Below are 13,108 nucleotides of genomic sequence, written 5' to 3' on the forward strand. Positions count from 1 at the left end.
TAACAATTTATTTGTCTAACCACCTCTCCTTACCCCCATGGTATAATGAAGATTAGAATATGTTTGAAGCCAGAAAAAAATACATATGAATCAACATGAGTCATTCTCTAAAATTTTTTCATTTATTTTGTTGTGAAAAATTGGGTACCTTTACGTAGCAAAACATTCAGCAGTATGGTTTAGTTGAGTGTAATATTTTTGTGGGAGTTTACAACAAATAAGCTGTTAACTGACTGGTAAAAGAGCTTCTTGAAAAAATATATTCAGCCTCAGTCATTTGATTTTTTTCAAAATTAATATAAGAGCCTAATAGGTAAATTATTGATTCATCCTGATATGATACAAGCCAATTAAAAACTCCATAAGATTCAAGTCAACCAATACTTTTACCCCGTCAACATATTGGATAACACTTCATTTTATTTAAAAAGTTTTTCAGAGTCAGGCGCGGTGGCTCACACCTGTAATCCCAGCACTTTGGGAGGCCGAGGCAGGTGGATCACCTGAGGTCAGGAGTTCGAGACCAGCCTGATCAACATGGTGAAATCCTGTCTCTACTAAAAAAAAAACAAAACAAAAATTAGCCCAGTGTGGTGGCGCATACCTGTAATCCCAGTTACTGAGGAGGCTGAGGCAGGAGAATCGCTTGGACATGGGAGGCGGAGGTTGCAGTGAGCTGAGATCTCGCCACTGCACTCCACCCTGAGTGACAGAGTGAGACTCCATCTCAAAAAAAAAAATTATGGATACATACATATGTGCATATTTATGAGGCACATGTGTTATTTTGATATAAGAATTCAATGTATAATGATCAAATCTGGGTAATCGAGATATTCACCACTTCAAACATTTATCATTTTTTATGGTGTTGGGAATATTCTAAGTCCACTTCTCTAGTTATTTTAAAATACACAGTAAATCATTGTTAACTGTGGTCACAGTATTGTGTTGCTAAACATTAGAACTTATTCCTTCATCCAACCCCTATTTATCCCCTACTCCCTACCACATTTTCCAGCCACTGGTAACCATCATTCTATTCTCTGTCTCCATGAGATCATTTTTTTAGCTTCCATATATGAAGGAGATCATGTGATATTTGTCTTTCTGTGACTTGCTTCTTTCACCTGACATAATGTCCTCCAGTTCCATCCATCTTGCTGAAATGATGAGAGTTCATTAATGTCATTTTTATGGCTGAGTAGTATTCCACTGTATATGAACCACTTTTCCGTATTCATTCATTGATCGATGGGCACTTAGGTAATTTCATATTTTGGCTATTGTGAAGAGTGCTTCAATAAATATGGGTGTACATACTGATTTATTTTCTTCTGGAGATACACCTAGCAAAAGTATTGCTGGATTATATGGTAATTCTATGTTTAGTTTTTTTGAGACAGCTCCATACTGTTTTCCATGGTGACTATAATAATTTGCATATTCCAATCAACATGTATCAAGAGCATTCCTCTTTCTCTGCCTCCTCACCAGCACTCCCTATTTTTTGATCTTTGTGATAAAAGCCACTTTAACTGCAGTGAGACCATATCTCATTGTGGTTTTGACTTGTATTTCTCTGATGATTAGTGATATTGGGCATTTTTTTTTAATTTTAGCTTTACAGTTTAAATTCCTTTTCATAATGGTGTATTTTCAGAGAACTTACCTCTCAGGATCCACAAAAGAAATATAATAAGTAAAATATTTTTATTTGAATTACTTCAAATATGAACATGCTTTCTTTCTGACCTTATAAGTTTATGACAACATTTTTTGAAAGAACAGGTGGATGAAAATGAACCAATCATATGGAAATACTAATCTCATTTCACTATCAGGACATCTTTGTAGGGGGTGGGTGGAAGTACTTTAGTGTTCTCCATTAACACAGGCTCACAGGTAGGCCTTTATGTATTTATGTTTTCAGTGTACTTCTGGAATATTCATTTAAGTTTGCCTCCTCAGAATTATGTGATATTAAACTCCAGTAACTTCTTTATTTAGATAGTTCAAAGATTTCCACTTTATCTTTAAAATTGTTCATTGTCAAGAGGAACTGACTTTTTCTGAAGAAGCTTGTGGTATCTTAATGTAGTTCTTGAAACACCTCTAAATAAATTAATATTAATTATATTACATTGTCCTGGTTATTACAGTCATACACAGTTATACATCATTTAGGAGTTTGTTACTATAGGAAGACTTGCTAAAAAAACTGAATTCCAAATAGAAAATTGGTCATTTTTTATGAATCACTGCCTACTCCAGGGAAATATATTTTCAACTTCTTTGACCATTAGACAAGAGAAGACCCATGTGAAATAAGCTATAAATACATTAATTCCAGACGAGACCTTGGCATCCATGATGGGTTACAGAATAGATAACAGTGGAGATAATGCGGGCCTGAGGAAAGCGGGGAAATAATACACAATAACAGAGAAACCTGGCTTCATAACCTGTTTATTGTTTTTTTGAAGGTGAGGAGGGACAGTAAGGGGCCTAACATTTGTACATGAGAGACATTTTCTCATCTTGCTGTTTATCTATGCACTGATTAGGCTTATTTGTGCTTAGACCAAACTGACTTAGTGAGACCCAAAAGAAAAGGGAAAATAAGATTTTCCTTAAAAATTTCCTATGTGAAATGATACCATTATGTGAGACCAACAATTATTAACTTCTATATTCCTAGATTGTGTAACAGGATAAAAAGTCATAAATATATTATTTCTTTTATATCTAGCTCAGAAGTTTAAAGAATGATATTTGGTTATAAGTTTCTATTTCTTCGTAGGTTTATAAATCAATTTAGCTCAAGTAGGGAAAATACTCATTACGAGATAGTTATTTAGCTTAGTCAGTGGAAAGCAGTAGATGGAAAATGAAAAAATGAAAGTTGAAGTTTCAATAATGTATATAATATATTTTCTCAGGTACAGAATGGGCAAAATGCTGGTGAAATAGATCAGACAACAATGTAAGACTTTTTCATCTCTTTCATTAAAAAGTTATATAAAGATAAATTAGGATAATATTATTGATGTCAAATGTCACACTAAGGATTTTTTATTTTTCCACGAATAGATGAGGAAACATTAATTGTTGTGAGCAGAGGAATGATATGACTTTGGTTTTGAGCAGAGGAGTTAGCAGAGCAATGAGTGAGCATTTGTAAAAGGTCAATCTGGTGTACAAAGTAGATTTGGAGGGAAGTAAACCAAAGAAATTTAAGGAAAATACAAGTCAAATGAATTAAATGGTCTAAAGAAGCCCAGGAGCGGAGCGAATAAGAAATGGCCTTTGAATCTGACAATCAGTCACTCATTTGTGAAAGTATAATTTCAGCACAGAAATAGGGTTGGAAATAAGACCACAGGAGGTTAAAACGTCTTTTGCATGCTGCAAATAATAAGTTACCATTCAAGTAAGAGGAAGAACAGGTACGTAACTGAGCCAAGAACAAAAAGAAATGTCCCCATTTGTTGAGACAAGTCAGAAGCCATGAGTTTTGCTTGAATAAATTTAGAAATTTTTAGTTAAATAATGGAGTCTTAGAAACTTGATGAGTAAAGAATGGTGAGTGATCTATATCTGTGTGTTTATTTTTTATTAAAATTACACTTGCTTCAGAATTCAGATCAGTGTGAGAATGGTGACAATGGTGATGGTGATGATAGTGATGAATTAGGTATAAGAAACATTTTAGTTCTTACTATATGCCAATCACTGTGCCAGATTCTTTCACATACATTGCCTTGTTCAATTCTTACAACTGCCATATGAGATATATAATATCATTATTCAAATTTGAATAAAAAAGTTCTTCAGTTATGTAATTATATGTACTCTAACATCCCTTGAGTTTTATTATATATTTATATATAATATATATAACTTATATATTATATATAATATCTTATATATTATATATTTATATATTATATATAATATATATTTATAAATCTCTATAAATGTATATAAATATTATATATAATATATGTTATATATTATATATAATATATGTTATATAATATAATATATAACATATATAATATATATATTATATAATATATAAAAGTAAAGATTTATCAGTATCGTATTCATCTGCTGAGGAAGACAACTTTTTACAATTTTGCTTATGTTTTAGTTATATCAGGAAGAAAATAGAATATTTCTAAAAATATTCCGCTTAATATATAATATATAAATATGATATATAAATATAAATATAAATATATAATATATAATTATATATTATAAATTATATATTATAATATATAATATAATATATAATTAGATATTATAATATAAAAATATAAATATAAAATAATATATAAATATATAATATATAATATATAATATATAACATATAAATATTATATGTTATATATAAATATATGTTATATGATGTATATAAATATATAATATATAACATATATATTATATGTTATATATTATACTATATACTATATATTATATAATATATAGTATATAGTATATATTATATAATATATAGTATATAGTATATATTATATAATATATAGTATGTATTTTATTATGTATATTATATATTATATATTATATAATTATATGTAATTATATATAATATATATTATATAATATATTTATATTTTATATATTATATATAATATATATCGTTATATATTATTATATATTTATATATAATATATAAAGTATTTATATATTATATATTAAGCAGAATATTTTTAGAAATATTGTTTTCTTCCTGATATAACTAAAACATAAGCAAAATTGTAAAAAGTTGTCTTCCTCAGCAGATGAATATGATATTGATAACATCTTTACTTTTCTTTATTGCTAACTCTATACCATTGGTAAATTAAAAATTAAGAGCAAGGTCAAAAGATATGGATCAAAACCTCGTAGTTCAATAGTCAGAAACCATGAGGTATAAGGAGAGTGAAAATATTTTACTTGATAATGCTATAGAAAATTGGGAATAGAATATCATAGAGTGTACAAACCAGAGAGGAGAAAATGCTTGTGTTGAAACCTAGGGTTGATCATTTTTCAGCTGTATTATGTGACTAAGTTTTTTTCACTTCTTTCTTTTGTCATTTTGGGAGGGGGGAGGGTAACATTAGGAGATATACCTAATGCTTAATGACGAGTTAATGGGTGCAGCACACCAACATGGCACATGGATACATATGTAACAAACCTGCACGTTGTGCACATGTACCCTAAAACTTAGAGTATAATAATAATAAAATTTAAAAAAAATCTAAAAAAAATAAAAAATAATAATTTCAACTTTTATTTTAGATTCAAGGGATGCATGTTTGGCCTCTTATGTGGATATATTGCAAGATGCTGTGGTTTGAAGTATGATTGACCCTGTCAGGCAGGTACTGGGCATAGTATCCAATACCTAGTTTTTCAACCCTTATCTTTTTCATTCCTTCCTCCCATCAGTCTCCAGAGTCTATTGTTGCTATCTTTATGTCCATGAGTGCCTGTTGTTTAGCTCCGAATTATGTGAGAACATGCAGTATTTGATTTTCTATGCCTGTGTTAGTTCACTTAGGATAATGATCTCTAGCTGTGTCCATGTTACTGCAAATAATATGATTTCATCCATTTTTATGGCTGCATAGTATTCTGTGGTGTATATGTACCATATTTTCTTTATCCAGTCCACTGTCGAGGACCACCTAGGTTGATTTTATGTCTTTTGTTATTGTGAATAATGCTGTGATGAACTATGAGTACACATGCCTTTCTGGTAGAATTATTTATTTCTTTTGGATACATACCCAGTAATAGTGTTACTGGTGGTGACTCTTGACTATGAGTAGTCCAGGTTCTTGTTGTTTTAAACAAAGAATCGGAGAAAATGCACAAAAAAGCAACAAAAGAATAAAGCAATGAAAGCACAGATTTACTGAAAGAAAAGTGTACTCCAGAGTGGGAGGGGGCTCAAGCAAGTGGCTCAAGCTCTGGTTACAGAATTTTCTGGGGTTTAAATACCCTCTAGTGGTTTCCCATTGGTTACTTAGTTTACACCCTATGTAAATGAAGGAATGACCTGCAACTAGTCTGATTGGTTGTGGAAGGTGACCAGTCAGAGGCTGAAATGAAGTTACAAAGTTACACTTTATGTAAATGTCTGATTGGTTGCCTGAGGGAACCAATCAGAGAATGAAGTGAAGTTACAAAGTTACACATGAAGACTTGGCCTGCAACCAGTCTGATTGTTTGCAGTAGGGGACCAATCAGAGGTACTTTCCATTTTTCATCTGCACAGAAGTGGGGAGGGGCTTGCAAAGGGAGTACCCTCTGATCCTTTTGTTACTTGAGCATGGGAAGTTGGAATTTTCCTTTTGATTTAGTTGTAGGAAGTTGGTGTGAATTGGCCTTAGGTTCCCTTCCTCCAGACCTCCAAACTGCCTTCCAAAGTGGTTGAACAAATTTACATTTCTACCAGAAGTATGTAAGCATTTCCTTTTCTCTGCGGCCTCACCAGCATCGGCCATTTGTTGACTTTTTAATAGCCATTCTGACTGGTATGAGATGGTATCTCACTATGTTTTGGATTTGCATTTCTCTGATAATTAGTAATGTGGAGCATTTTTTTTCATGTTTATTGGTTGCCTGTATGTCTTTTGAGAAGTGTCTGTTCATGTCTTTTGCCCATTTTTTTAAATGGGATTGACTTTTGCTTAATTGTTTAAGTTCCTTATGAATAGAACTTTTTATATTAGACCTTTGTTGGGTTCATAGTTTCCAAATATTTTCTCCCATTCTGTATAGGTTGTGTGTTGACTGCATTGATAGTTTCTTTTGCTGTGCAGAAGCTCTTTAGTTTAATTAGGTCCTACTTGTCAATTTTTGTTTTTGTTGCAGTTGCTTTTTAGAACTTAGTATAAATTCTTTCCCAAGGACAATATCCAGAATGGTATTCTTTAGGTTTTCTTGGGGAAACCTAAAGTTTATAGTTTAAGGTGTTACATTTAATTATTTAATCCTTCTTTAGTTAATTTAGTTAATTTAGTTTTTGTATATGGGGACACGTAGGTAGGGGGTCCAGTTTTATTCTTCTGCCTATGGACATCCAGCTATACCAGCACAATTTATTGAACAGGGAGTACTTTCTTTATTGCTTATTTTTGTTAACTTTGTTGAAGATCAGATGGCTGTGGGTTTGTGGCCTTATTTTTGGGTTCTTTATTCTCTTCTTGGTCTATTTGTCTGCTTTTGTACCACTACCATGATGTTTTGGTTACTGTAGCCTTATAGTACAGTTTGAAGTTGGGTAACATGATGCCTCTGGCTTCGTTCTTTTGGTATAGAATTTCTTTGGCTATGCAGGTTCTTTTTTGGTTCCATATGAATTTTTGGATAGTTTTTCTAGTTCTGTGAATAATAACATTGGTAGTTTGACAGTAATCGCGTTGACTCTGTAGATTGCTTTGGGCATTATGGCCATTTTAATGATAGTGATTCTTCCATTCCATGAGTATGGAATGTTTCTCCATTTGTCTCATCTGTGAGTTCTTTCAGCAGTGTTTTCTGGGTGAAAATTTGATCTACTGGCTTTCTTTTTCTTTTGCTATATAGTAAAAGAAAAATAATGTGGTGTTTGAAATCAAGAAAATAATTTAAATTTATTTTGTCGTTATTATATGATTATAAATACTCCTTGACACAAATATTTCTAAACACAGAATCATGATATTCTTCATTTAATTTTAAATAATAAAGTAATAATTATAGATAATACCAGATGAATTGAGATCATAGGTTTGGTGAATTGGCGATGTGTAACTAATGGCAAATATAAATCTCTTACTGCTTTTATTTTGAGAAATTGTAGTGACTGATATACTCAAAATGAAGGTGATATTGCTAGCCTCGATTTAAATAGAAAAATGGAACTATAGTTTTCATATTCATAACCATTCTATGAAGATTTTGACAAATGCATTGGAGTAAAAAATTATCATTAACCTATGATTTATGAGATAAATAAGGAGTGAGTAATTACATGTAAATTTAGAATGTAAAACTATTTTTAATATGGCTACTTTTGTAATTTTATTGTCAAGACTTCATTAACATGTTACTCTATTATTCTTGTAACTTTATTGTTAAAACTTTATTAACATTATTAACTATTTTTTCACTGTAGGTATTTGTAATTATGCATTTAGGTCAGTAACTTATTTGGAATCAAATTTGATGCAAAAATAATGGAAATAGTTTATATTTATTATGAAATATGTTACGCAAATTTTTTGTATTCTCAAATGTAGTATTTTTAGATGAGTACTGATTTTCATAATAAGTGAAAGTAATAATAGCAAATACTTCTCAAGACTTATTGTTGCTGGGCTCTGTATCATAGGCCCCATATGCATCAGCTCTTGAATTTCATTTAGATGTTATCAGCTTTTATATATGATCTCTTCAAGAAATTGGAAAGTTATTTTCATTCTGTTGTAGAGCATGAGAAAAATGAAAGCTTTGTTTTTACTTAGTTAATATGGTTTCGCTTTGTGTCCCCACCCAAATCTCATGTAGAATTGTAATCCCCGCATATTGAAGGGGGGATCTGCTAGGAGGTGACTGGATTATGGAGGAAGTTTTCTCCATGCTGTTCTTATGACAGTGAGGGAGTTCTCACAAGATCTGATGGTTTAAAAGTGGCAGTTTCTCCTGCACTCTCTCTCTCCTGCTGCCATGTAAGACGTGCCTTGCTTCCCCTTGGCCTCCTGTTGGTGTAACTGTCCTGAGACCTCCCCAGCCATGCAGAACTGTGAGTCAATAAACCTCCTTTGTTTATAAATTACCCAGTCTCAGGTATTTCTTTATAGTACTATGAAAACAAACTAATACATTAGTCTAAAAAATATATTTGTCTATCAGTTATATAACTTTGTCATATTTTTTATTTTGAGCATATTTCCTTTTGAACATTCTTGCTGATACAAATAGAAATTGCAGTTATTGAAGAGTTGTACATTGATTTTTGTACCATAATTTCTTTTTTTTTTTTTTTTTTTGAGACGGAGTCTTGCTTCTGTCACCCAGGCTGGAGTGCAGTGGCACAATCTCAGCTCACTGCAAGCTCTGCCTCCCAGGTTCACACCATCCTCCTGCCTCAGCCTCCCAAGTAGCTGGGACTACAGGCACCCGCCACCATGCCTGGCTAATTTTTTGTATTTTTAGTAGAGACAGGGTTTCACCGTGTTAGCCAGGATGGTATTGATCTCCTGACCTCATGATCTGCCCGCTTCGGCCTCCCAAAGTGCTGGGATTACAGGCGTGAGCCACCACACCCAGCCTATACCATTATTTCTTAAAATTTCCCTTATGATATACATTACAATTCATATCACCCCAATAATTTTAGTGCTATATTAAAATCTTACCAAAACATTTATCTTATAGAGATTTGTATCCAAAACATATAAAGAACTCTTAAGTCTAAAAAAGACTATATACTATATGATTCTAATTATATAACATTATATGAAAAAGCAGAAAATATAGATACAGTAAAAATATAAGTGGCTTCCATGGGCTCAGGAGGAGGCATAGAGGGTTGAATATATGAAGCACAAGATTTTGTCTTTAGAAAGAGTAATTAAATTTTATGATATTGTAATGGTGGACTTGTAACATTATGTATTTGTCAAAACTCATAAAACTTTATAGTACAAAGAGTGAACCTTAGTGTATACAAATTAAAAAATCAGTTAAAAGTTTTGGAGATCACAAAGGAATTCATAATAACAGAATCTAAATTAAATATGAAACAATCTCTTTGAAGTGGGTGTGTGTAAAAGGTGCTGACCTAAGTAATTTTGGATAGGATTTAGAGTCTTGAAGTCTAAAGACAAAAAGAACTGCATAAATACACTTGTTGTTAAAGTTGTTTCTTGAAAATCATTTAGAAGGTTGGGGGATCCCAAAAGGAATGCATAATATGACAACAGAACCTAACTCTAATAACAATGTATGAAATAATATTGCTCTCTGAAGGGGGTGTGTGTAAAAGGTGCTAATCTAAGTCATTTTGTATAGGACTAGAGTCTCTAAGTCTAAAAGCAAAAAGACCTAAATATGCGTACTTGTTGATAAAGTTGTTTCTTAACAGGGTGTAAGTTAATTTTGATATTACTACACATGTATAATTGAATTGAATAATTAAGCAAATGAATGGTGGATGATTGGAGCCATATTTCTCACTGTTGCAGTAAATGTACAGATTAGTAAGAGGAGGATGGTAGAATGAGCCATGTTGTAATGGATAAAAGTTGGGCATATCAGTAAGAATTCATGTTTAAATTAATTTATATAAATATGGTGACATATAGAAATAATGTTTCAAATATATATGAAAATAGAATTATACAATATACCCATACCCTCTTAAGCCATTTTTAACTACTGACCAAACCTGTCTCATCTATACTTGCATCTTCTCCCTCCCCCTCATATTAGTTTAAAGCATATTCCAGGTATCATATTTTATTTATAAAATTTTGGTAGTTATATCTAAAACAAGAAACCCCTTGTTTTATTCACCATCACCACTACATCTTTAAGGTACTACAGGACTGAGCCTGGTGCTTCTTTCATATCCCCTTAGCATTTACCTCTAAAGCCAAAGCATGTTGCTTAATTACCTGAGACTTTACCTAATAAATACTTTCATTTTTCCTGACCACAGGATCACATTAGACCTTTGTGTAGAATAAGCTGCAAGGGCTGGAGAGTTAAGGCCCCAGGGAGCAACCTTCGACCAATATCAAATAGGAATTTAGTGGATAAATTCCCCAGCTTGCCTCCCTCAGTTAAAATACCTCTGAAGTTTGATATACATTACAGCAGGATTGAGCTCCGGTAGCACAATGAAAACCTGATGGATAGTGCATCTTGTATGGAATCCCTTCCTTTCCTTGCCTTGCTTCCTCACTTCTCTATTTGTATCCTGAGATTACCTCCCAAACAAGTTGCTTGTCCTACAGTTCTTGTTTCAGAATCTGTTTTGGAGGGAGACCAAACCAGGTCACATTTTCTAAAGAAATTAATGATAATTTCTTAATGGGATAAAATATTAAGTGTTAACATTTCTAATTGTCTTATACATATAAAATTTATTATTTTATTATACATTATTTTATATTAAAAATCAAGACTCAAGGCCCTCCTGTATCTATTGCTTCATATGTATTTTAAGCCTATTTTAATTAATCTCTATGCATGGTTCCCTCCATATCTTCTGTATTTCTTCTAGTTTATTTTTTGAGGAAACTGGATTGTTTAACTCATACATTTCTCATGGCCTGAACTTTGCTGATTACATCCCCAAGGTGTAGTTTATAACAGGATCATTTTTTGTTAATGGTGTTTGGAGGTAGAATCTTGCCCAGATAAGGATTTGATTTTTTTTCCCCTTGGCAAAACTACCCCTAGACTATATCTCAAAGACTATATCTATAAAGAGGAACATAACGGAAATGCCCGATTCTCTTTTGTTCGTGGTATTAGCAATCATGCATAAGTGTTTAGATCTACTAGTTAGAGGTTGCAAAATTATACATAAATCAAAAGTTTATTTTAAAATCAAGGTATATTTTGTTTAGATTTATCTTTTTTTATCAGTACATAATATTTGTACATACTAATGTGGTACATGTAATATTTTGTTATATGCCTAGAATGTGTAATGATCAAGACAGGGTATTAAAGATATACATTATCATTTCTATGTGTTGGGAACATTTCAAATCCTCTCTTCTAGCTATTTTAAAATACACAATATATTGTTGTTAACAATACTCACCCTACTCTGCTATTGAACATTGGAATTTATTCGTTCTGTCTAACTGTATGTTTGTACCCATTTACCAACCTCTCTTCATTTACCTCCCCCCAAAAACATACCTTTCCCAGCCTTTGATAATTATCATTCTATTCTCTACCTCCATGAGATCAACATTTTTACCTCCCATATATGAGCGAAAATATGCAATGTTCATCTTACTGTGCTTGGCTAATTTTACATAATGACTTCCAGTTTTCATGCATGTTACTGAAAGTGACAGAATTTCAGTCTTTTTTATGGCTATTATTCCACTGTTTATACATACCACATTTTCTTTTCATTCATTCGTTGATGGACAGTTAGGCTGATTGCATGTATCTTTGGCTACTGCTATAGTGTTTTAATAAGCATGGTGGAGGGCAAGTATCACTTTGATATGTTAATTTCCTTTCCTTGGATAAATATCCAGCAGTGGAGATGCAAATTTTCATGGTAGTTCTATTTTTAGTTTTTAAAGAAATCTCCATACTGTTTTTCATAATAATTGTATTAATTTACATTCCTAACAGTAGTATGTAAGAGTTCTTTTTTCTCTGCATCCTTGCCAGCATCTATTTTTGACAACACCTTTTCTAAGTAGGGTAAGATAATATATTATTGTGATTGTTGTAGTTTTGATTTGCATTTTTGCATTTCCCTGATGATTAAATATGTTGACTAATGTTGTTTTTTGTTTTGTTTTGTTTTTTAGAAATGAAATCTCCCTATGTTGCTCAGGCCGCTCTCCTGGGCTCAAGCAATCTTGGCCATTTGTATGTCTCCTTTTGAGAAATGTCTATACAGGTTCTTTGCCCACTTTTTAAGGGCATTGTTTTCTCCTGGTTGAATTGCTTGAGTACCTTGTGTGTTCTAGATATTGTTCCTTGTCAGATGAATACTTTGCAAGTATTTTCTCCCACTCAACAGGTTGTCTCTTTGTTGACTGTTTCCTTTGTTGTGCAGAGGCATTTAATTTAAAATACTTTCATTAGTCTATTTCTGTTTTTGTTATCTGTGCTTTTGAGGTCTTAGCCATAATATTTTTGCCAATACGAATGTCGTTATTTTTCTGTTTTCTTCTACTAACATTGTAACTTGAGATCTTAGGTTTAAGTCTTTCATTCACTTTGAGTTGATTTTTGTGTGTGGTAAGATGGGTCTAGTGTCATTTTTCTGCATATGAATATCCAGTTTTCCCAGCCTCATGTACTAAAGATAATGTACTTTCCCCAATATGTGTCT

At 32.1% G+C, this 13,108-nt stretch overlaps 1 protein-coding gene across 2 annotated transcripts in view, besides 2 other annotated features; it reads left to right on the forward strand.

Annotated features, from left to right (window-relative positions):
* PRR16 (proline rich 16) overlaps positions 1-13,108 on the forward strand; it is a 330,317-nt gene that overhangs the window by 285,660 nt on the left and 31,549 nt on the right. The window lies entirely within an intron of this gene.
* Positions 11,602-12,102: an enhancer, noted in NCBI's record as "H3K27ac-H3K4me1 hESC enhancer chr5:120097234-120097734 (GRCh37/hg19 assembly coordinates)". NCBI's record gives its function as "activates a minimal SCP1, AML or CMV promoter by ChIP-STARR-seq in primed H9 embryonic stem cells {active_cell/tissue: H9 hESC(primed)}" and the evidence as "EXISTENCE:reporter gene assay evidence [ECO:0000049][PMID:30033119]".
* Positions 12,103-12,603: an enhancer, noted in NCBI's record as "H3K27ac-H3K4me1 hESC enhancer chr5:120097735-120098235 (GRCh37/hg19 assembly coordinates)". NCBI's record gives its function as "activates a minimal SCP1, AML or CMV promoter by ChIP-STARR-seq in primed H9 embryonic stem cells {active_cell/tissue: H9 hESC(primed)}" and the evidence as "EXISTENCE:reporter gene assay evidence [ECO:0000049][PMID:30033119]".

The sequence above is a fragment of the Homo sapiens genome, chromosome 5 (assembly GCF_000001405.40).
Source record: "Homo sapiens chromosome 5, GRCh38.p14 Primary Assembly".
NCBI lineage: Eukaryota > Metazoa > Chordata > Mammalia > Primates > Hominidae > Homo > Homo sapiens.